Source organism: Homo sapiens, chromosome 8 (assembly GCF_000001405.40).
Source record: "Homo sapiens chromosome 8, GRCh38.p14 Primary Assembly".
In the NCBI taxonomy this organism is placed as follows: Eukaryota; Metazoa; Chordata; class Mammalia; order Primates; family Hominidae; genus Homo; species Homo sapiens.
The window spans coordinates 60,964,040-60,988,280 of NC_000008.11; the positions used below are offsets into that span (position 1 = coordinate 60,964,040).

At 43.7% G+C, this 24,241-nt stretch overlaps 1 protein-coding gene and 1 long non-coding RNA gene across 2 annotated transcripts in view, besides 3 other annotated features; one reads left to right on the top strand and one right to left on the bottom strand.

The window, feature by feature from the left end:
- The first annotated feature begins 808 nt into the window (after positions 1-808).
- The window catches only part of CLVS1 (clavesin 1), a 536,782-nt gene continuing 513,349 nt past the window's right edge, over positions 809-24,241 (top strand). The window contains exons 1-2 of the mRNA XM_024447079.2: positions 809-1,322; positions 2,131-2,198. The gene's annotated coding sequence lies outside the window, so the exon portion shown is untranslated. The remainder of the gene's footprint in view (positions 1,323-2,130; positions 2,199-24,241) is intronic.
- Positions 2,082-3,709, bottom strand: LOC100130298 (hCG1816373-like). Its single transcript, NR_034003.1, has 2 exons — positions 3,534-3,709; positions 2,082-2,418 (listed from the first exon to the last, which is right to left on the bottom strand). It is a non-coding gene; the product is annotated as an hCG1816373-like (long non-coding RNA).
- Positions 3,231-3,280: an enhancer, noted in NCBI's record as "active region_27434". NCBI's record gives its function as "activates an Ori minimal core promoter by ATAC-STARR-seq in GM12878 lymphoblastoid cells {active_cell/tissue: GM12878}" and the evidence as "EXISTENCE:reporter gene assay evidence [ECO:0000049][PMID:35858748]".
- Positions 3,341-3,400: an enhancer, noted in NCBI's record as "active region_27435". NCBI's record gives its function as "activates an Ori minimal core promoter by ATAC-STARR-seq in GM12878 lymphoblastoid cells {active_cell/tissue: GM12878}" and the evidence as "EXISTENCE:reporter gene assay evidence [ECO:0000049][PMID:35858748]".
- Positions 15,667-15,726: an enhancer, noted in NCBI's record as "active region_27436". NCBI's record gives its function as "activates an Ori minimal core promoter by ATAC-STARR-seq in GM12878 lymphoblastoid cells {active_cell/tissue: GM12878}" and the evidence as "EXISTENCE:reporter gene assay evidence [ECO:0000049][PMID:35858748]".

Consider the following 24,241-nt stretch of genomic DNA (forward strand, 5'->3'; position numbering starts at 1 on the left):
CCGGAGTGGGAATGGTAGCCCGGTATCCATGGTGAGCTTCCCTATCTCACCGTGCCAGGTGTGCGTGTGTGTGTTATTTCTTGGAAAGGCTGTCCTCTGAGGGGGTGGGGAGGGAAGAAGGCAAGAGAGGAGAGGAGGAAAAAAACAGAAGGGAGGTAATTAGGCGCCACCTTGCCCAATGGAGCCTGCTCAGGTGTCTGAAATCAAGGATGGGGATTGGAAGGGTGCTGATGGAGTCTGATGATTCCTCCTGCCTGCCAAGTCCACGCTTGTTTCTATGGGTACAAGACCAGGGGAAAGAAACCCTGGGGTCAGAAAAGAGGCATGGATCACAATACCAAGCAGGATGGGCCTTGCTACTTGCCTCTTCTGCAATGTGGTATTAGTCTTGAACTGACAACCTGAATTCATGCTGATTTTTTCCCCCAGTTTAGACATTGGAAGTGTTTCAAACTTCGTAGGCTGTTATTTAGGAAAAGCCTTCATGGGATAGCATTTTTTTTTTTTTTTTTTTTTGAGATGGAGTCTCTCTCTTTCGCCCAGGCTGGAGTGCAGTGGTGCGATCTCAGCTCACTGCAAGCTCCGCCTCCCGGGTTCACGCCATTCTCCTGCCTCAGCCTCCCAAGTAGCTGTGACTACAGGCACCTGCCACCACACCGGGCTAATTTTTTTTTTTTTTTGTATTTTTAGTAGAGACGGGGTTTCACCGTGTTAGCCAGAACGGTCTTGATCTCCTGACCTCATGATCTGCCCGCCTCGGTCTCCCAAAGTGCTGGGATTACAGGTATGAGCCACCGCGCCTGGCCGGGATAGCATTTTAACTGGATAGCTGACTGGCTGATTTTATATTCCCACTTAATGGATAGAGAAATTGAGGCATTAGGAACCATATGGACCTGCCTTACTCTGAGAGGGAAATAGGAGCAGGCCTGGGAAGTTTTCCCAGGAAAGAGAATTTGTTATAGCTTCATAGATTCATGGGATGCATGAATTTTCTTTTTCTTTTTTTTTGAGTTGCAAGATTGTGAGGTTGCAGATGCTCTGTGTAAAACAATGCCCCACAGGGAGGGAAGTGTGAGGTCCGGCCTGAGGCCACCCTTAAAAAGGGCTATAAACAGCAGCTGCTTCTATTGTGCGTGCCAAGTGCTGCCTATTAGTTTAGGTTTCCAAACTCCTTGTTTCTTTCTCTTGAACCAGATGTGACCGAGCAAGAGTTTGTCAATTCAGAGGTAGACCCCAGATGGTGGGAATCAAAGGAGGGAAGTGAGGGGCACACGGGCCTCTGGGGGCTGAGGCAGGAGACAGCTCTCTGCCTTTCTCAGGTACTCTGTTTTTCTGTCTTGGTGTCTGATCCGTCCTTCCTTCTCCGGGTTTGGCAGCTGAGGCAGAGTGGGGAAGAGTGTCTGTGGTGTCTGATCTTCAAGCTCACACATGAGCTCGTGGAGGGCTCAGGACACAAAGGAGGGGGATAGATGACAGTGGAAGAGCACTCGGGAGCCCCATTAGGCACCCCTGATGGAGGGCAGGGAGGGGGCAAACAAAAGAGCCCCAGGCCGCTGGGCCACACAGAACCTGGATGATGAAACAGGAGGATGCAGGCAGGAAGACAGAGCCACCTCTCTCTGCTGCCCCTGGCGAAGGGGTGCATTCGTTCCCTGGTTGGTGGGGGAGAGACGCCAACCCAGAGCCACGTTATTTCTGATTCGTGGTGCATGGCATTTTTATTTACCATTTATGAAACTGCGGGTTCAGATGTGTGTGATTTTGTTTTTTTGTTTTTTGTTTTTATTTTTGAGACAGAGTCTCTTGTCACTCAGGCTGGAGTGCAATGGCATGATCTCGGCTCACTGCAACCTCTGCCTCCCAGGTTCAAGCCATCCTCCTGCCTCAGCCTCCAAAGTAACTGGGATTACAGGTACCCACCACCATGCCTGGCTAAGTTTTGTATTTTTAGTAGAGATGGGGTTTTGCCACGTTGGCCAGGCTGGTCTCCAACTCCTGACCTCAGGTGATCCGCCTGCCTCAGCCTCCCAAAGTGCTGGGATTACAGGTGTGAGCCACTGCGCCTGGCCCCAGTGTTCTTAATTAATCTCTTTTATTTCTCTTTCCCTCTTTCTTTCTTCTTCTAAGGTAGAGGACCTTTGGAGATGTGAATGAAAACAGCTGTCTGAACAAGTGGTACCCTAACTAGCGCGGCTGTGAGTCTGAAGCTTGAAATGGGGAAGTTGGTCAGCATGGGTGAGCTATGCAGCCCAGGTGAAGGGATCCTCAAGCAGCAGCCTCTGCCTTTTTGTCTTCTCCTTTTCACGGAGATGACAAGAATCACCCCAGGACTTATCTTCTGAGGTGCTCAGCTGTGGTCCCAGTGCTGCTTTGGTCACTGCTATGGCGGGTGGAAGCAGGATGGGTGAAGTCATTCTGGAGAACAAGGTAAATTATAGCCAAATTATATATTTGCATATGCCATGACCCAGCATCCCAATATATGCCAGAGAAACTCTTGCACAGATTCATGTGGAAATAAACATAGTAAAGATGTCCTACATATCTTTCTGGGTCCCAGGGAGTTGGAGGGAACTTAGGTACCCATCATTTGGGGAATAGAGAAAATGTGGTGGGAGCTTATGCTGGAATACCATGCAGCAGCTGAAGTAATGAATGAACACAAATCTTTAGCAAGACTGTTGAATGAACATGTAAGAAATAGGACAGTATTTATAGCATGGTGTCATTTTAATAATGTTAACAGAAGCATACACATACACACAATATTGTATTTTTACGTTTCCAGGCACAAATTTCTTATACATGACATTGGGTGGAGAGAGAGGAAGGAGACATGCCATGGGGATCAAGGTTAGAGGGAAAAAATTCAAATAAAATTAAAGAATAGAGGGGGTTTAAAATGCCCAGTTATGATAATTAACATGCCATGAACTGAAGAAACAACTCAGTTTTGCACTAAATTCCTATCTATGGAAATGGAAATTCTCTTTGTCTCTTTCTCATCTATCTACATATCTATAACATACCATAGTTTCTGTGATAAAAAGTATCACAGAAATGCATAAATGCATATGAAATCTCACTGTCAATAATCAACCATCAAATACTCTTTAAACCTATACTATGGATGTAGTCCTGCGCTAGGTCTGATGGAACATGCAAGAGCATAGGGTATTGTCCTTGTTACCATGCAGATTGGAACTTACATATGAAACAAGAGCATGCAATTTAAAATAGCATATAATGAATGCCCAAACTGTGTAAGACATACACAAAGAGGTGCATGAGAATTAAAAACAAAGATGGCTGGTGAGGACAGGAGTGGTCAGAGAAAACTCACTGGAGAAAGAAGCTCTGCACTGGGCGGTGAAGGATGGTGGTACTGGCTTGGCAGAGGGAAGGGGAACGGAAGCCGCATAGAGACATAAATCGTGAAGCTACCAAGGGGACCACGAGTGCAGTAGCCAGACCCCAGCAGAAGGGGACGGCTTGAGGTGTGGGTGAAGCAGGGTGCAGTGCATACTTACCCTGTCGTCTGCGCAGCATTCAGCTTCTGGGAACCATGTGTGGCTGCCTCTGGCTCCTTTATCTCCAGGGCTTCTCGGAAGCCATTTGTACAGACGTTTTCAGGCCTCTCCTGCCCACTGCTCAGGGTGTGGGTGCTGAGGGTGGGATTTGGGATTTGGCCAGGAGGAAGCATCTGCCACCACCGGCATCCCTTTTGCTTTCTTTTTCCTCTTATGAGTACTCAGGGCTGCCTCCTAGCTTTGCCTAATTGCTCTATCCACGGACCAATGAGAGCGGGTGACGTTTTAAAGTGACAATCCTACATTGATAGTATTTTCTAGAAAATTCTCCACACACCCGTGGACTAATCTTCCAGAGATCATTTAATTTAATTTATTTATTTAGAGACAGGGTCTTGTTCTGTCGCCCAGGCTGGAGTGCAGTGGTGTGATCTCTGCTTACTGCAGCATCAAATTCTCGGGCCCAAGCGATTCTCCCACCTCAGTCCCCCAAGTCGCTGGGACCACAGGCCTGCCCCTGGCGAATTGTTACGTATTTTTTTGTGGGATGGTGTCTCACTATGTTGCTCAGGCTGGTCTCAAACTCCTGGGGTCAAGTGACCTCCCACCTTGACCTCCCAAATTGCGGGGCTGATAGGTGTGACCCACTGTGCAAGGCCGGGCGCAGTGGCTCACGCCCGTAATCGCAGCACTTTGGGAGGCCGAGGCCGAGGCCGGCGGATCACCTGAGGTCGGGAGTTCGAGACCAGCCTGACCAACATGGTGAAACCCTGTCTCTACTAAAATACAAAAAATTAGCTTGGCATGGTGGTGTGCGCCTGTAGTCCCAGCTACTAGGGAGGCTGAGGCAGGAGAATCGCTTGAACCCGGGAGGCAGAGGTTGCAGTGAGCTGACATTGCCCCACTGCACTCCAGCCTGGCCACAGAACAAGACTCCGTTTCAAAAAAAAAAAAAAAATCAAATTTATAACCTGTATGAGTTTAATCAATATTATTAACAATAACTAATATTGTTATGTTTGTTAGGAAAACTGGGGCTGGTATGGTGGTGCACACCTATAATCCCAGCACTTTGGGAGGCTGAGGTGGGCAGATCACTTGAGGCCAGGGGTTCGAGACCAGCCTGGGCAACATGGCAAAACCCCATCTCTACAAAAAATACAAAAATTAGCTGAGTGTGGGGGCATGTGCCTGTAGTCCCAGCTACTTGGGAGGCTGAGGTGGGAGAATCACTTGAGCCTGGCAGGTTAAGGCTGCAGTGAGCTGCAGTCATGCCACTGCACTCCAGCCTAGGTAATAGGACAAGACCCTGTTTCAAAAAAAATAAATAAATAAAATAAAAAAAAATAAAAGAAAAAGAAAACTAGGAGGCCAGGCATGGTGCTATGGATGTTCACAAAGGGGGTCCTAATGCATGTGTTCTGAACAAACATGTATATTACATACAAGCCATGTTCACCTTGTGGTGGAGACAACAATGAAGTGTATCACAATCAAGCTCTATACGTCAAAAGGTGAAGCAGGGACACCAAGGCACTCAGTGTACAGCCTCTGTAATCCAGCCAGAACCAGTCTATAGTCAGTGGTCTCTTATCAGGAGAAAGTTACTGAAATAAGGCTCTTGTCCAATCAAAGCTGTAGTTATGGCTGTGGAACAGGGGTTGGGGGTTAGTCAGGCAGTGTCTGGTGGCTGGTGAGCTGCAGTTGTTTCAATATTGCTTATCTCAGGGCCACTGCTTGTTTGGCTGCCAGAGAAAAATAAAAACCCTGTAGCCCTTAGGACATAGTATACTCTTTAAGTGTAGGGGTGCATGACTTAACCCTTGCCTAGCATAGCCTTAGGTTCTGTTTCCAATTCGGTATCTTACTGCCACAAAGCGTCTGTTATGTCAGCCTTACGATCTCTGTTTTAATATTAATGCTTGTCAGTGGTTGTGTCTAAACCGTAAAAGAAAGGGGTTATACGTGTTTGACGTCCTATCCCATCATGGCCAGGAACTCAGTTTTTAAGGTTTCTCTGGGATCCCCTTGGCCAAGAGGGGGTCAGTTCAGTCAGTTGGCAGGGGCGGGGGCTGTTAGGATTTTATTTTTAGTTCTTATTGGTTTTATGTTGACATATTTTGGATATATTGAATTAAATATAACACACAGTCAGCCCTCCCTGTCCATGGATTCAGCATCCATGAATTAACCAACCTAGGATCAAAAATATTCAAGAAAAAAATTAAAAATAAAACAAATAAAAAAGCAATACAGTATAACAACTATCTATAGAGCCTTTACATTGCATTAGATATTATAAGTAATCTAGAGATGATTTAAAATATACAACAGGATGTGCATGGGTTCTATGCAATTACTATACCATTTTATATAAGGGGCTTGAGCTTTCATGGATATTGGTATTTGAGGGGGTCCTGGAACCCGATATATCAAAGTCGCCTCCCCCGATACGTCAAGGAGCAACTGTATTATTAAAATGAATTTGAGTTCTTTTAAAAAATGTGATTATAAAACATTTAAAATTACACATGGAGCTCACATTCTGGTTCTGCTGGGGAGGGCTGCTCTGGATTAAAGTTGTTCTTGGCTTATTTATTTGGTTTTCCATGCACTTTTCAACTCTGATTCTATGCCTGTGATCTGGATCTTCTCTTGAGATGCGGATTCACATCCGCCATTCTGTCTCCTCATCTTCTGAGAGGTCTGCCCTGGAGCCCTCTGCTGAGCTCTCCTCAGGACCGGCTGCTGGTCATCCTGAGATCCCTCTTCACTAATGTCCTGGGAATTTCCTTTATTGTTCTACTGTGTTGAAGCCTGTTTCCTGGATCTCATTTCTTCCTCCTTGGTTAATTCCTTTGTTTTATGAAACATGTTCTGCAGTTTCCTAAGAAAAGCGTGTGGGAGGTTAATTTTTTGCAACCTTATGTGTCTGAAAATTTGTGTGAAAATCACGTGCCCTTGATGCACAGTTTGGGTAGGTGAGTCCAGGATGCAAATAATTTCTCTGAATTTGGAAGGCATTGCACCCATGTCTTCTATCTCCCTGTATTGCTGTTGAGAAGTTCTAAGTCATTTGACTTCTTAACCTCTGTACATGACCTTTCCTTTGAAATCTCCATTCCCTCTTGCAGAATCTTCTTTTTCTCACCAATGCTGTGAACTTTCATGATGATGTGACTTGGTATATGTCATGCCATTCAATTCTGGGAAATTTCCTTGAATTATTTTATTGGTGATTTCATCCCCTCTATTTCTTTAGTTCTCTCTCTTTGGAACTCTATTATTTGGATGAAACAGATAATTGTTAGTCTGCACTGGTCTTCTAATTTTTTTATCTTTTCTCTTTTATTTTCCATCTCAGTCCTTTGCTCCTCTTTCTAAAACGTTTCCTCAACTTATCTTCCATCTCTTCAGCTGAGTTATTTATTTATATTATTATATTTTAAATGTCTAACAATCTAGCAACTTTTTTTTTTTGTTCTTTGATGACTTTTCCTTTTTTTTTTTTTTTTTTTTTTGAGACAGAGTCTGACTCTGTCACCCATGCTGGAGTGCAGGTGGCACAATCACAGCTCACTGCAACCTCGACCTCCTTAGCTCAGGTGATCCTCCCACCTCAGCCTTGCGAGTAGCTGGGACTACATGCGCCCACCACCACACCCAGCTAATTTTTCTGTATTTTTTGTAGCGATAGGGTTTCGCCATGTTGCCCAGGCTGGCCTGGAGCTCCTGGGCTCAAGCCATCCTCCTGCCTTGGCCTTCCGAAGTGCTGGGATTACAGATGAGAGCCACTGTGCCCGGCCTACTTTTCCTTTTTAATAGCATCCTGCTCTTCTTTGTTTTGTGGGTGCAGTATCTTCCACATCTTTGTCCCCAAGGACAGTAATGCTCACTTTGATTTTAACTTTTCTCTTGCCTGCATAGTGTCTGTTTCTTCCAAATCCCCTTTTTTTCTGTGTATTTGGTCTCTCTCTTTCATGATAAAGGCTTCCAGAGGTGCAGAGTAAACCTGGGTTGTTTACACATGTTTATTGGCATGGGGGTTGCCTGCCTATAGCTGGGGTCCTGTGAAAATGAGCCTCTCAGCAGGGTGGCTGTGAGGAATCCCTGAGTGAGTTGCTTTAGGTCTTCTAGAGCTGTTCATATTTCCCAGAGGAGAATTTGCCAGTCTCCTGCCCAGAGGGTAATACCTTGGCTGCCAGCATTCTGAGAACTGAATCGAGAAGACAGTTTGGGATTTCAACATTCAGGAAGTATACATCACCCCCACCCCCACCTTCCCCCGTTTCTCTTTAAGATACCCCAGGCTGCTACTGGCTGCCTCTGTCAGTTTTCTATTTTTGTGTAACAAACTACCCCAAAACATTATGGCTTGCAAGCAATTGTATTTGCTCATGATTCTTAGGGTCAGGAATTTGGTAAGCTCGGCTGGGTGGTGGGTCTGATCACGTGGCCTCAACTGGTGCAGCTGGGATGGAGGGTTCACTTCTATGCTGGCTTTGTCATTCTCATGTCTGGTGTGCCTTGGCCTCTCTGTCTCTGTCTTTGTAACTGTCTTTCTCTCTCTCTCTCTATGCTGTCTCACCCATTAGGGCCTCTCTGTGTGACTTGGGCTTCTCACAGCATGGTGGTCTCAGTGTGGTCATGAAACTGCCTTTGCAAAAATCATAACAGTGAAAAAATTATGACAGTGAAGGAGATCTGACCAACTCCATCTTGCCTTTAACCTCCAAAGTACCCATGGTCATTCCTGGGCATGGGCCAAACTAACTCTGGGAAAAATTTAGTGCATAGTTTAAGTAATAATAGCCCTCTTCAAACTAAACTTAAAAACTTAAAATTAATAAGTTTATTAATTTTAAAACTCATGAAAAGACACCAGGTTAGGAGGATGAGAGGGGCCTGAATTCCCTTAAGATATAGGTATAGTTAAGTGATTACCAGCCATTATTCTGGAGGTCGCGAGATTAGCAACTTCTCCAATTATTCCTGTAAATAACATTATTATTGTAGACCTAAGGTTGGCCTTTTGAGATGTCTTTTCAGGCTTTTGCATTTTTGATGACCAGATGGCCCTACCTGGACCAGCAACTCCTTTGTGGCCCCCACCCATAAGTGGACTCAGTGCAGGAGGACTGTTTTCCACAACACTATGATTGCAGCCCCAATCAATCAGCATTTCCTCTTCACTAGCCCCATGCCCATCAAGCAATCCTTGAAAAACTCTAGCCTCCAAAAATTCAGGGAGGCAGATTTGAATAGTAATAAAACTCTGATTTCCCTTTTAGCTGGCTCTATGTGTATTAAACTCTCTCTATTGCAATTCCTCATCTTGATAAATCAGCTGTGTTTGGGCAGTGGACAAGATGAACCCATTGGGTTCTGACTTCCAGCTACTGACTTCCAGTGGACAGGAGGCGAATGCTGCCAGTGCTGGGGTGGTTGAGGGCTATGCCCAGAGCTGGCACAGTGTTGCTTCTGTTGGTCAGAGAAGTCATGGGGGTCTGTCCAGATTCAAGGGTATGAAGAAAGAGATTCCTCCTTGGGTTGGAAGAGAAAGGACCCGTTGCAAATGAGCATGTGGGTTGAAAGATTGGCCATCTTTAGAAAAATCTAAGCTGTCACACTGCGCAAGTTAAAGTTGATTTAAAAAAATGTTTAGTGAGCATGATTTTCATTGGGTAGGAATATTTATCAATTGTTTTCTCCTTATACAAAATTAAAGGTTGTGTTAAACTTACCTTCTGCTTTTGGAAATAGGTATATTTCAGAGATAAACATTTGCTATGAGTTTCCAAAATTTTTTTCTGTTTGTGTACTTGATCTTTTCATATTGTCATTGATGATGGGTATCTGAGTTACTGGTGGCTAATCTGTATGGGTCTGTAGCAACCTCAATTCTTGCCTCCTCAGAAGAAAGAATTCAACTGAGGGGCATAAGGCAGAAGAAGAGACCGAAGCAAGTTTTAGAGCAGGAGTGAACATTTATTAAAAAGCTTTAAAGCAGGAATGAAAAGAAAGTAAAGTACAGCTGGAAGAGGGCCAAGGGAGCATCTTGCAGGTCAAGTGTGGGGTTGCCTTTTGACTTGGGGTTTTATATGTTGGCATGCTTCTGCTGTCTTGCATCCCTTTTCCCATGGAATGCCCCCGGAAGGACATATACCAGTTAAACTCTTTTGCCTCATAATGCTCATGCTCGAGCTCACTCGCCCAGCTCCTGAGATCTTACTGGGAAGCTGCTGATCGCCAGTTTCAGGTGTTTCCTATCACCTGATGGTCACCTGACTCTCCTGGGTGGGGGAGGTGGAGGGTGGCGGCCCTCTCCTGTCCTGTTCATGTCTGACTAGCTGCCCACTGTAACAAGATGATCTGTAATTTTATTTTTATTCTTTTGATTTGCTTTTTCCTTTGGAAGGAGATCTATATTTATTCAGTTTGGAGACTTGAGATGGTTTTGTCAGTGATTGTGTTGGTTCCTGTTCTCTTACTCCCAAAGGGGAAATTTTATGTTTTTATTTATTTGGCAGTTTTATTTTCCTTGTGTAGGGATATATTCAGCTGGGAGAAGTTGTTGGAAGGCAGTTTTCCCTGAGGAATTCACTGCTTTTTTTCAAATAGTTTTTTTTAAGCCTCTGTGGGGAGGTGAGATGGGGGCACTCCCCAAGTCCCCTGCCTCCACGAGTCCCTCCCGGAGGCCAGCAGCTCTGTTTGTGAAGCCCTGGTGGAGCTGCCAAACTGCTCTCATTTGCCACCCTCCAGAGTCCCATCCTCTTCCATTTCAAGTTTGAGAACTTCCCAGATCTTTGGGGAATCACCTACTTGATTCCCACAGGGTACTTCCTTTGTGAGTATTGAACAGGGCTGTCAGTACTTTGATCCATCCCTTCACAGGCACCAAATTACACAAACATTGACTTCCTCAAAGTTTCTAGCCCATTGATACCATGCTTATTTTACCTTGATGTGATACAGTTTTCTCCCCACTTAGTATGACTCTCTGATTCTTTCAGTGGAATTTGGGAAGGGAGGGACACTAAACATGTCAGCTTAAGTGTCATTGGCCACTTTGTTTTTGGTTTTAGTCAACTGGTTTATTAAGAATTGCTCCAAAGAGAATGGCATGAACCCGGGAGGCGGAGCTTGCAGTGAGCCGAGATCACGCCACTGCACTCCAGCCTGGGCAATAGAGCAAGACTCCATCTCAAAAAAAAAAAAAAAGAATTGCTTCAAAAATTTGATGATATTTGAAAGAGTGAATATTTTATTTGTTATGGCTTAGAAGAGAGACAAACATCTACAGCAGTAGCTCTCAATCCTGGCTGCACATGAGGATCAGCTGGAGGGGCTTGGATGAATTGCTGATGTCCAGGGCACACCCTCAGAGGTTATGATTTGAGTGGCTTGGACTGGAACCCAGTCATCAGCTTTGAGAAAAGCTCCCTCGATGGTTTTGGTACTCAGAGTGCTGAGAACCATGGATCATAGGGTAATGGGTGCATATCCTAACCCTGTGAGTGCCCTTGGAATGGGGAAAAAGGAGGAAAAGGAAATAGCAGGAGTAAGAGGGAAGACATCATAGATGAGAGAAAAAAGCACAGGATTTAGAACCTGTGTCTGATTCCCAGTGCCACAGTTGAATGCCTGCATAATCCTGCATTATTTTTTTGAGCCCCATTTCACTCTTTGTAAAAGAGCACTAATGTTGCCTACTTCATGGCACTGATGCAAGACAAAATTGCATGTCTGGGAAAGCAAGTGTTTGTTATTATTTTTAAAAACTAGGGTTTTGTAGTGGCATTTAAGTATAGGATCTTGAGATGAGATTATCTTGGTTTTAGGGTGGGTCTAAATCCAACGACTGATATCCCTATCAGTCAGAGACTGGAACTGGCAAACAGACACACAGACACACAGAGGAACAGGTCAGGTGAAGATGGAGGCAGAGGTTGGAGTTATGCTGCCACAAGACAAAAATTTCCTGGAGCCCCCAGATGCAGGAAGAGGCAAGGCAGTATCTGGAGCTTCAAAGGGACCATGGCCCTGCTGACACCTTAATTTTGGACTTCTGGTCTCTAAAACTGTGAGAACATAATTTCTTGTTTTGAGCTGCCAAGTTCGTGTTAATTTTTTATGACAGCTCTAGAAAACTAAGACATCCTTCCTCACCCCCTCTTCCTGCATTGTCTTCTTCCTCTTTCACATTAATTATAATATTTAAGAAATAATTATTGTTCTTAAGAGGGAGCTAGTTGTGCTGGAGTAAAGAACCCATGTCCCAGCAGAACTTAAATGATGTGAAAGTTAAATGGTCAAGGAGGACCATAAGATGGAGATACCACAAGCCACCAGGAGCCAAGAGCTAAGTGAAGAGTACATACAATAAGTACAAGGAGGCCGGGGGCTTCTCTGCCCTGAGACCCAATGTTTCTCTTGATCAAACTTTCCTTAATTTTGAAAACTCGTTTTCTCTTTTGATTCCCTAGAAGAGGTACCTCATTGAGTGCCATCACTTTGATCTTTCAATTCTGACCTTCTAGCTTTAAATTTTTTTTCAATTCAAGTTACCAGCATATTTCATACTTTTCCTGCCTCCTAAAGGAATTTTTAAAGAATATCTGTGACTTAAAGATGGCAGACAAAAGTCACTGGGTTGTTTAATCCCTGATGAGAGACTATGAAAAAGTGATGACCCACATTGAAAAAATGCTTTTTCATGTTTGGGAAAACATGTACTTTGAACTTGGAATTAATAATTACTTTCTCTATCTTGTTTCTTTTCTTTCTTTCTTTTTTTTTTTTAGAGACAAGTTCTCACTCTGTTGCTCAGGCTGGAGTGCAGTGGCATAATCATGGCTCACTGCAGCCTCCACCTCTTGGGCTCAAGCAATTTTCCTGCCTCAGCCTCCTGAGTAGCTGGGACTACAGGTGTTTGCCACCAGCCCTGCTGTCTATCTTGTTTCTAAATCAAAATTAAGCACTACTGGGTAATGTCATGGGAAGACGGTGGAGTAGGAAGCTCTAGGAATTTAGGACTTGAGCATCAGCTAGGAACGGTCTGAATCAACTATTTTGGAACTCTGAAGTCTAATAGAACAATTGAACATTCAGGTGAGAGCTTGATAAAGAGACTGGCAATTTTCAGTGAATTTCAGCTGTTTGTCTAGCAGTGGCTACCGCCCTCATCCCCTAGCCCTGCATCTGCTTGCCATGGGGGCGGTGGTATGCATTCCTGATGCGGCTTTCTGCCGCCCAGTGGGGCAATAGAAACTTTATCCTCCAAAAATTGGGGTTGTGTGTTTTGATTGCTGATCACTGCTTTTGATTGTGGAGGGGCTGGCACAGAGGTTGGCCATTGTTTCAACCCCCATGGGCTAAAGCAGCTCCCGAGGGGATTTAAAGAGACAGGATCTATTCCCTACCTGCTAGTTTCACTCCTCCAAACCCTCAGACACTTTTGGGAGGTAGACAGTCTGGAAATATCTGTCAGTCATTGGCTGACTGCAGAGGCAATGGAGCAGAAACTTCACTGACCACAAAAAACAAGTAATATACAATTGCAAAATTTGTTTAGAAAAGTTCAAAATGGTTGACCCTAGTCCTCCAAAAGCAAGATTTGGCAATTCCTGAGATGTGGGAGAATTAAATCTCTGGAGTTACCATAACATAACACTCAAAATATTCAGTTGCTAACAACAAAAATACAAAATATACAAAGAAATAGGAAAATATGGTTCATTCACAGGAAAAAAATAATTTGACAGAAATCATCCCTGAGGAATCTGAGACACAGGAATGATTAGTCAAAGACAGTAAATCGACAGTCTTAAATATGTGAAATCAGTTAAAGAAAACCATGCCAAAGGAACAAAGGAAATCAGAAAAATAATGTATGAACAAAATGAGAATATCAACAAAGAGATAGAAATTATAAAAAGGAACCAAATAGAAAAGTTGAAAAGTGCAAAAACTAAAATGAAAAACTCACCAGAGGTGCTCAACGGCAGATCTGAGCAGGCAAAATGAACTTGAGACAATTGAGACTATCCAGTCTAAGGAGCAGAAAGAAAAAAGAATGAAGAAAAATGAACTGAGTATGAGTGATGTGTTGGGTATCATTAAACACACCAACATACAAATTAGGATTTCCAGATGTAGAAGAAAGAAATATTTGAATAAATAATGGCTGAAAACTTTCCTAATCTGAGGAAATACATGAATACATAAATCCAAGAAGTTCAATGAACTCCAAGAGGCATAAACTCAAAGAAATCTACACAGAGACACATTATAGTCAAATTCTTGAAACCAAAGACAAAGAGAGAACTTTGAAAGCAACAAGAGAAAAGCAACTTGTTCTGTACAAGGAATTTGCAATAAGATTAACAGCCAATTGCTCCTCAGGAATCATGGAGACCAGAATTCCTTATGTAAAGTCCTGGAAGAAAAAACTGGAAACCAAGAATTGTATATCTAGCAAAACTATCTTTTAAGAATAAAGGGAAAACTAAATATTTCCAGATAAACAAAAGCTGAGGGAGCTCATTACCAGTAGGCCTGGTACAGAAATGTTAAAGGGAATCTTTCAGGCTGAAAAGAAAGGACAGTAGATATTAATAGTAAATTGAAGCCATAAGAAAAAGAAAGAGCACTGGCTAAGGTAGCTACATAGGTAAATATGAAGTCCAACATCATGCTTTTGATATGGTATGTATCTTCTTTTCTTTTCCTAGATAATTGAATAGGCAAATGCATAAAACAATGATTATATGTTAATGGGCATGCAATGTATACAGGTGTAATCTGTGAGAAAAACAATATAAACAAGGAAGAATGGAAATATATATGAGCAGAATATTTGTATATTATTGAAATTAAGTTGGTTTGTTGAAACTAGGTTGTAATAAGTTTAAGATGTTAATTGTAATCCCAAGGTAACCACTAAGAAATAACTAAAAAAGGCCAGGTGCAGTGGCTCATGCCTGTAATCCCAGCACTTTGGAAGGCCGAGGCAGGCGGATCACCTGAGATTGGGATTTTGAGACCATCCTGGCCAACATGGTGAAACCCCGTCTCTACTAAAAATGCAAAAATTAGCCAGGGGTGATGGCACCTGCCTGTAATGCCAGATACTCAGGAGGCTGAGGCAGGAGAATTGCTTGAACACGGGAGGTGGAGGTTGCAGTGAGCCCAGACCACTGCACTCCAGCCTGTGTGACAGAGCGAGACTCCATCTCAAAAAAAAAAAAAAAAAAAAAAAAGAAATAACTAAAAAAATACAGGGAAAGAAAGGAATAAAAATGGTACACTATAACACTATAAAATCAAGCAAACTAAAACCATTCCAAACTGTTTCAGAATATCTTCTAATGGTTTTATTAGTGGATTCTCACAATCCAGCCTGTGTGAGAGGAGTCACCTACATACTCTATATTTTGACAACTTGAAAAATTTAGCTGTGAGGTAGCACATTGAGCTAGTTTTACAAGGCCAAGTGTAGACCTTATGTTAAAGAAAGAACATAACAGAGTGGAGAGAGCATTGGACTAGAAGCCAGTAGGACTGGGTTCTAGTTGCCTGAGTTATTTGTGCTAGCAAGCCAGGTGACATTGAACAACTCTGTTTTCTTATCTATAAAGGGGGGTTGTTGAACTAGACAGTCTCAAAGGTCCCTTCCAGTCAGAAGATGAGCATCAAGGTTTGCACACAGCTCCCCTCGATGGGGCCTGCCCTCTGAATTGAAGAGTCTGTGTAACCAAGACCTCTTTCTACTCATTTCCAGCACAGATGAGCACTCTCTGAGGCTAATTTTAAAAGAGACAAAAATATCACATGGCTGGAGGGAACCTTGAGAAATGACTTAGTAGAAGAGCAACAACATCTGCAGCAATACTGATTCCTCCTGTCTAATGGAGAGTTTCAGAATTATCTCTAGAGGCATCCCTCCCGGTATCTGCTTTGAGTCTTGAGTTAGGTAAGGCAGACATTCAACTGAAGTAAACAACTGTGTATTGAGGGTTTTGTGTGTGTGCCAGGCAATGTGCTCAAATCTGCACACAGAAAAATAAGAGCGAGTCCTGCATTTAAGGAGCCCACATGGTCCACCAACCCCAGGTGAGGAAGTGGTGCTTAGAAAGACAGTTTTGTGAATAAAATTACACAAGAAGAGTTGTAGCTGGGGTGGGAAGGCAGGTCTGATTTCTAGGGAGAGGTTGTCACACTGTCAGCCTGCCTGGGTTCAACCCATGCACCCTTTTCATGAGGTCCAGAAGAGGTGATTGTAGAACTCTTTTGGAAAATAAACTCTGGTCCAGTGCACTTTACTATAGGGATTTTGTTCTAATCACTATCAGGTCGAAGTTAACACTTACTTCCTCTTGTTCTATTTAATTGAAAAAGACATGATCTCTGCCCTTTTTCACTTCTGGTCAACAGCGTAAGTTCCTCATTCAACACTTTGTAGAAGACATAAATACAACACCCTTGGGGCAGGATGAGAGGCTTAGGAGGGAGAAGTAGAACTGCTGACCCAAGCCCTGTGAGATCTTCAGGGCTCAAGAACTGCACAAGTTCTAATGGCCAGGTTTGCAAAGCGTGTATTTTATTCATCTAGAGGCAAACAAACAGTCCTGTGTCCTCTTCTAGGTCTTGGGGAAAACTTATAAGGCTTTGCCTTTTCTTTAACCATTACCTCAATCCTTAACTAATTATTTTAATGGGCTTTGGCATGGATGTGTATTTAATTTAATTTGGTATCAATCTTGTCACATCTTTGAAAGCATTTTATGTCTCTATGTCATAAGACTCAGGGCTAGAATTGTATGGTCAATAAAGAATTAAGCATAGAAACGGTAGTGGGTTCAATGCTGGCCCCAAAGATATCAGGTTCTAATTCCTGGAACACATAAATGTTACTTTATTTGGAAAAAGGGGCCGGGTGGGATAGCTCACACCTGTAATCCCAGCACTTTGGGTGGCCAAGGCTGGCGGATCACCTGAGGTCAGGATTTTGAGACCAGCTTGGCCAACATGGTGAAACCTCGCCTCCACTAAAAATACAAAAATTAGCTGGTATGGTGGCACATGCCTGTAATCCCTGCTACTGGGGAGGCTGAGGCATGAGAAATTGCTTGAACTCGGGAGGTGGAGGTTGCAGTGAGCCGTGATTGCACCACTGCACTCCAGCCTGGGTGACAGAGTGAGACCCCATCTCAAAAAAAGAAAAAGAGAAAGGGTCTTTGCAGATGTGATTAAATTAAGGACCTTGAGATGAGATCATCCTTTTGATGGACCTTAAATGCCCATCAAAAAGACTCAAGAAAGCACCCTCATAAGAGAGAGGCAGAGGGAGAGGACACACAGAAGAGGAGGAGGCCATGTGGGTACAGAGGCGGAGACTGGAGTGACACGGCCACAGGGGGAGGGATGCAGAAACCACCAGCAGCTGGAAGAGGCTGGGGATGGCTTCTCTAGAGCCTCCAAATGGAGGAGGGCCCTTAATTTCAGCCCAGTGATGCTGATGTTGAATTTAAGAGAATATATTTCTGTTGTTTGAAGCCACCAAGTTTGTAGTAATAGTTGCAGCAGCCACAGGAAATTAACACAGGAACAAAAAACTTAGGTCCCTACTGTTAGAGCCATCTGGCAAAGCCTATGGATTCCTTCTCAGAACAATGGTTTTAAATCACACAATAAAATACATAGGAGTATGCCACAAGCCAAATATATTGAAATACAGATGCTAGAACATAAGAAAATGAATTTATGTAGCTTTGAGCACATGAATCAAGATGGTGCATTTCACATACAGGCAAGTTAAAGATGATTTTATTTGTGAAAGATATCAGCATGTTTCAAAACAGGCTGCTGCTCAGCTTGACTCAGCACACTGAACTGTGTGGAGTGGCCTGCAGGAAGAAACGTGGGGATCACGTGTTGTCCACGGAGGGGACTCATACTCGCTGTTGCTTTGCAGGCATGAAGATAGTAGACAGTGTTCCAGGATAGTTATAGTAACTGCAATGTCATTGTGCAAATATCTGGTGTTCCCTGGTGGCTAAGATCTGGGGTTTGCTGATGCTCTGTGGTTTGTTCTATATTCATAATTGGAGGAGATGCTAAATTTTAGTTCATGAACCTCTGAGTGGCAGAAAGTACAGAGGAACAGCAGCTTGAGCGGCCAGGGTGGGTGTGGAGTCCTGTCTGCCGGGAGGCCGAGGATGGCAAGACTTGGTGTTTGTAAGGATGGAGGCCTGTGCAAGAGCGGGACCCCTCATGAGGGCACCCTGCGAAGCAGGAGGCGCGACGAATTAGATGGGGTGTCAGGCTGACTGTGAAATATGACAGATTAACAGCCAAGGCTGGTGGTGTGACCTGCTTTCAGACACTTCATTTAGAAGTTATCATTTTGCTGGATGCTTCCTATAATTTGTGATGATGCTGATTGTGATAAATCATGAGTTTCTGGCAAACTCCGCCAGCCTGCTCCAATGGCTGAACAGAGAAAATGTGTAATTCTGTGGGAACATTCATGCCACGAATGAGAGCAAGGGTCTGGCCGTAACAACAGAATGCTCAGTCAGTGAACAAAGTAATTAAATCAAGCTAATTAAATCACAATAAAAATAATTTTAATTTAATTAATTTCTTTGCACTGATTGAACATTATGTTGAAACCAAGAGGCTTTCTGAACACTAATAGAATTTAGGAGCTGGGACACCAAAGTTGTGGTCACTGGTGTGGTACGTGGGTTATTGTTGAGGGAATGAAATTAAATACATTTAACCAGATGCTGGAATGTTGACTGAAGCACAAATAGAAAATGATTTTGGAATCAAGATAATAGGGTCTCTTCCTTTCTCAGTTAGATTTCTGTACTAACTGGGCCAATAAATGTCAAATTTGGTAATCCTTTAAAAGGCCTATGTAAAGTAGACAGCATATAATTGCCTCACTGTGCTGGAATTGGTGAGAACCTTTAGGTCAGGATCTTGGTGGTGAGTGGAAGTTCTAGGACACTTGCCTATTGTCACCACTGCCCCCAGCCCCTGATACCTAATAAAGACCCTAGAAGCCTTAGAACTGGAATCCTTGACTAAATAAGTGGCAGTGAGGTTTTTAACTGCAGCCTGAAAGATCTAGGTGAGGCATCTAGAAGAACTTCCTGTCTGGGACAGATATTACCCAATAACCAGTTACTACTCCTTGAAAATGTGATGCTGGGCATGGTGGCTCATGCCTGTAATCCCCAGTGACTCAGGAGGCTGAGACGGGAGGATGGCTTGAGACAAGGAGTTTAAGGCTGCAGTGAACCACAGTCACATCCACTGTACTTAGCCTGGGTGACAGAGTAAGAACTTGATTCAAAAAACAAACAAACCCCCCACACCCCAAACTGAATCATGCTCTGCCTACCCCATCCCCAGGGCTAAGCAGAAAGACTTACGCTAGCTGGTACTCATATAATTATTATTAAATTGAATTATTGAGGTCTCTTAAGGAATTTCTTCCCTGAGGGCTTGAAAATTAGGATGGATACTCTGTTTCCGGGGATATTTAAACATCGTACAGTCTATGAGCAGGAGGATGCTCACACAAGACACCTCTCAAGGTCACCTCTCTGAGACTAATTTTGTCACATAAGCAACACTGGAATTCTGAGTGTGTGTTAGCAGGCGCTCACATAATTACCAACTGCGATTTCAGAGGAGTTCTGTGCTTTGGATCTCAATATTATTTATCATGCACGTTATTTTAATTAATATGTTGTATGTGTGCCAACATTTGAACCAGACCTCATTATGAGTATTCGGGGCACTGCATTGTTTGTTGAGTGGAATTGTTTTCCGGGATGCAGCTGGTTTCCCTCCCCAGCAGCCAGGGAGGGCAAGGGAACCAAGGAGCCAGCATTTTCAAAAAGCCTTTGCTGCCACAGAGGTTTTCAATGATCATCTGTCCTAGACACTAACCAGCAAGGAATTATTTCTCCATCCAAAGGATAGGGTGTGAGGTGCCCCCAGGGAAGACTCTGGAAGCTCAGTGAGGTTTTGCAGGGAGAAGGGAGGGAGCATCAAGGTTTATGATGTCTGAGTGCTGCACCCAGTCCCAGGAAAGAAGCATATCCAGGTGCCTTGGCAGAGGGAATTGGCACCTTTGCTGTGTTGTCTGCTGTTACGTAATTGTGCACACAGTGTGAAATCCGTGGAAGCACAATGACCATGAGCTGCAGCTGGCAGTTCATCTCTGCCTGAACAATAACCAGAGACCCCCACTTCCTCCTAAAGCCTGGTAGGACTTTTGGGCAGGTCTTCCTTTTCCTGGTAGAGCTACCCTCCCACAGCCCCCACCAACACCTGCCCTGCCCTGAGGTTCAGAACATGAACATTTTCCAGAAGAAGGATTTTCCTTTTTGGAAAGGAGAACTTCTGGCTTGACCTGCATTCCAGCCAGTTGGGTTGGCTGCAGCCCCAGCCTAGCCTGTACCCTGACCCTGCCCCCAGCACCTCCTGGGTCCCTCCCTCCCCTGCTCCTTCCTCACCAATGGGAAAGGGTGGTGAGGATGACCCTGGAGGAATCACTTTCTCCCTAGGATATCTTTCTCATTCCAGCACCTGCTTTCCACCTGTGTGTAGCTTCTTGTCCCAGTATTTGCTAATGAGAATTAAGACCCTATTGTCTTTAACTGCTTGTCCTCACTTACAAAGAGTCAAAAGGTCTAGTTTTTTTTCTTTTTTTCCTCTTCTTTTTTTTTTTTCTTTTTTTTTTGAGACAGAATTCCGCTTTTGTCACCCAGGCTGGAGTGCAATGGCGGGATCTCAGCTCACTGCAATCTTTGCCTCCCAGGTTCAAGTGATTCTCCAGCCTCAGCCTCCTGAGTAGCTGAGATCTGAGATTACAGGCGTCCGCCACCATGCTCCGCTAATTTTTGTATTTTTACCAGACATGGGGTTTCACCATGTTGGCCAGGCTGGTCTCGAACTCCTGACCTCAGGTGATCCATCCACCTCAGCCTCCCAAAGTGCTAGGATTTCAGGCGTGAGCCACCGTGCCTGGCCCATAAAGTCTAGTTCTATTCACACCATTAAAAATGCTTCAACTAATACTACCTTTCATCCAAGGTCAAATATGTGCCCAGCAGTGTGCTAAGCATGGTACCCAGATCATCACATTTAATTTTCCTAGGGACTCTATGAGGTAGGTGCTATTTTTATTTTCTTCTTGTAGATGAGGAAATGGTGGCTTCAGAAGTTAAATAACTTCCCCTAGGTCACAGCTAGGAAGTGACAGAGCTGCTCCTGGAATAGAGGTTCCTTTCTTTCCCAAATCCCTCCTCTTAACCCCCTTGCTGCCTCTGGAATGAATCAGTGGTGGAGAAATAGTCTGTAAGTGTTCTGTAAGCCTCTCAACACAGCGCTGCCCACCCATACACATGAGTTCATTTGCACCCTTTGCCCAAGCGAAGTCCTCTCCAAATCCTCTTTTCCAACCCTGAAAGCTATTTTACAGAAGGAAGATTTCGGACCAACTAAGAATGTTAAGGCTATTTTTTCTTCTCTCAGAAAGTCAATTAACTACACACTGTGCATCTATATTGGTCCAAGGATTCTGTCACGGGAGGAAATCTCTTTAAAAGGTTCGACTCAGAGACCTCAGGACACCTCCAACATGGGGCTTTCAATCCGCTGTGAGTCCCCAGCTTCTGTGCATGCCCAATGTCCACGGCACACAGCTGTGCCAGACCCTGCTGTCGGGATAACTGGCACCAGCCACGGGCAATAGATGACCTCAATCTACCAGCCTGAGAGCTCCACCTTGATCGCCACTGGTCCTCCTCTTTGATCTCTTTCTCTCTTTCTGCTCATTGTTTCTCTTTTTCCCTCCAAATGGACTTTGTCCACTCTGGTTCCCATCCTTGTGCCAGCCCCTCCCTTTCCTGTCATCTTGACTCTGTGCAGTTGGCTCCACACTACGCTCGTTCAGGTGGCCTTTGCCTGCCTCATAATTCTCTGCTGAAACAGAGTAATAATAAAAAACCCAAGAAAAGAAAATATTTACCAGTTCTGAAATGGCTTGAATTAATGAAATAATGTTTTGGGGCATTTAGATTGAACCCGTGTAATTGTAGGTTGCAAAGTATAATAGTAGCTCATGCAGGGATATCATTTTGTGCTATTTTACTTTCAGGTTTTTGTTAATCCAGTGGGTTTGGTGGAATTAGAGGGCTGCTGTGAAAAAAAAAAAAAAAAAGCCTGAGCAACCTGCTGGCGAGAGAACAGCTTTGTCAAACTAGCAGGTAGCTGCACGTTTAGCCTTTATCCGGCATACAATAAGGGCAATCACCAGGGCCTGTAGAAAGAGTATTGAACTGTCGACACAGGACATTTTTGTTGAAAGTAGTCCTTTTGATTTCATCTTCCCAGACTAATGTAATAAAAACAGACATTATGGAACACATTCATCTCAGTTTGATAGGGACCATCCTGAATACCCAGCAATGTGTGCAGTCATAAAGGTTATCCAACTGCTGTAAGTAACTTGGAAGACGATTGTAGATGCAAAGGTTATGAAAACCTCTTCCTAGATAAGGATGGACAGCTGTCACAGGGGCAGGCCAGTGTGCAGATAGACTTGCCACTTTGTTTCTACTAGAATGTTAAACTTTGAAAAGATTCTAAATTTCAGCCACAAGCCCATTTTCTCTAATTAACAAAACCTTGAGTAGTTATCTCCAAGGAAGAAGAAAGGAAAACAAAGTGAAGAATCTTGAACTTATTTTTGCTGATCGGATGGCTGTTTCTATGGAAACAGAAACAGAGGCAGGAACCAGCCATGAACAGCCAGGGTCAGAGGCCTGGCTTGTGTCAGCTTCTCCCACTCTCTATATTCCCGAATTCCATACTCTTTGACTTTTGGAGTTTATGACCTCAGTGGGGACCATTTGCAAAGCAAAGAGCTTCACATAACTTAAGAACTTAGGAGTTTTCTCTCAAACAAAAAGCTCGCAGGAATTGAGCCAACTCTGGAACTGCGGAAGATTAGAATTTATGTAACCTTCTGATTTCTTTAACTACCTGAAGCGTTCCAAATTTGTTGTTAACATGGTAAACATTACTCCCAACATTTATGTATATGCTTGCTAAGGTGCTATTTTTCATGCACTCACTAAAGGGCACTGAAAGGAACTGCTTATCCTCCATCAATTATATCCTGCCATAAGCTTATGGGTAACATCGTACTGGGCATTAGAATGAGAACAGGTGGGTAATTGCAGATTGAATTTGAAACAATATAGTAGTATCATTCCTCAAACTGAATAAGAGGCATGACTTGATATTTCTTTGAGACTAGAAAGGCTTATGTGTCATTGTACTCATCATTGCTGTTGAGTTCACTGTAGTTTAACCTATTCATTTGCTCATGCATTCATTCAGTAAGCTGCCATTGAGTAGCCACTGTGTGCTAGGTATCAGATTCTGGGAGTTCAGACAGAAGACACAGTCCCTGCTCTCAGGCAAATGACAGTCCAGAGGCATTTCTAAGACAAAGCAGATGATTACAATGGAACGTGATGAGCGCTGTGATAGGGAGATGCCCAGGGTACTGGAGGAGCCGGGAGGGGAGCCACATACCCAGCTTTGTGTGTGTGCATGCTCATGTGTCTGGAAGTGCATAGTTAAGAGTGGCTTCCTGATGGAAATGATGTCTAAAATAAATCTTGAAGGATAAATAGAAGCTAGAAAATGAAATGGAAATGGGTTACATTGCAGACAATAGCAAATGACATCCCAAGAACTACCAGTCACTCTGTGAGAGCTACGGTTACTTGAGTTGTGATGGTTGAGTCTGGAGAGATTGGCAGTGCTCTTGAGTTTTATGCTAAGTTGCCTGTTTGTTGGAGGAAGGAAGGAAGGAAAGAAGGAATGATAGCAGGGAGTCACTGAAGAATAGGAAAGGATCTAAGATTTACTTTCTGCTTGGGCCTGCTGATTTAAAAAAATAAATGATATCTTTCAATAGTTAACCTCTGAACCTCCATTTCCTCATTTATGAAAAAAATGTATCCTTACTTTACAGGGATGTTATGAGGGTTAAATGAGATACTGATATCAGGCACTGAGCACAGTTCCTGACACTTCATTCATGCCCAGTAACAATGGTCATCATTATCATGATAAGCATGGAGGAAAGAGGATGTAATAAAAGTGCCAATGAGAGCCAGTGTGGTGGCTCGAGCCTGTAGTCCCAGCTACTCAGAGGCTGAGGCAGGAGGATTGCTTGAGCCAGGAGTTCAAGACTACAGTGAACCATGATCATGCCCTCCAGCCTGGTGATAGAGCAAGACCAAATCTCTTAAAAAAACTTAACAAATAATAAAAGTGCTAGTGAGAGATGAAGGTAGTCTGAAATGGGGTGGGGAGTGAGCCAGGAATCTGAGAGACATCTGGGAAGGTAGGATTTGCAGGGCTGGTGAATGGCAGATGTGAGGGAGAGGAGAGCCAAGAATGACTTCTGATTCCTGTTTGAGTGTGTGGCTGTCCCCTCACTGAGATGGATGCAGAGTGAGCAGAGAATGTTCACTAAGAGAAAGACCATCCAACACCAAAACCCAACTCCATTCTTGAACTGGAGAGCTTTTCAAAAAAGGACCCTGTAGAGACTGGGGGGTGCAGAGACATCTCCATGCGAGTGGTTGGGGGAGAAGTTAGTA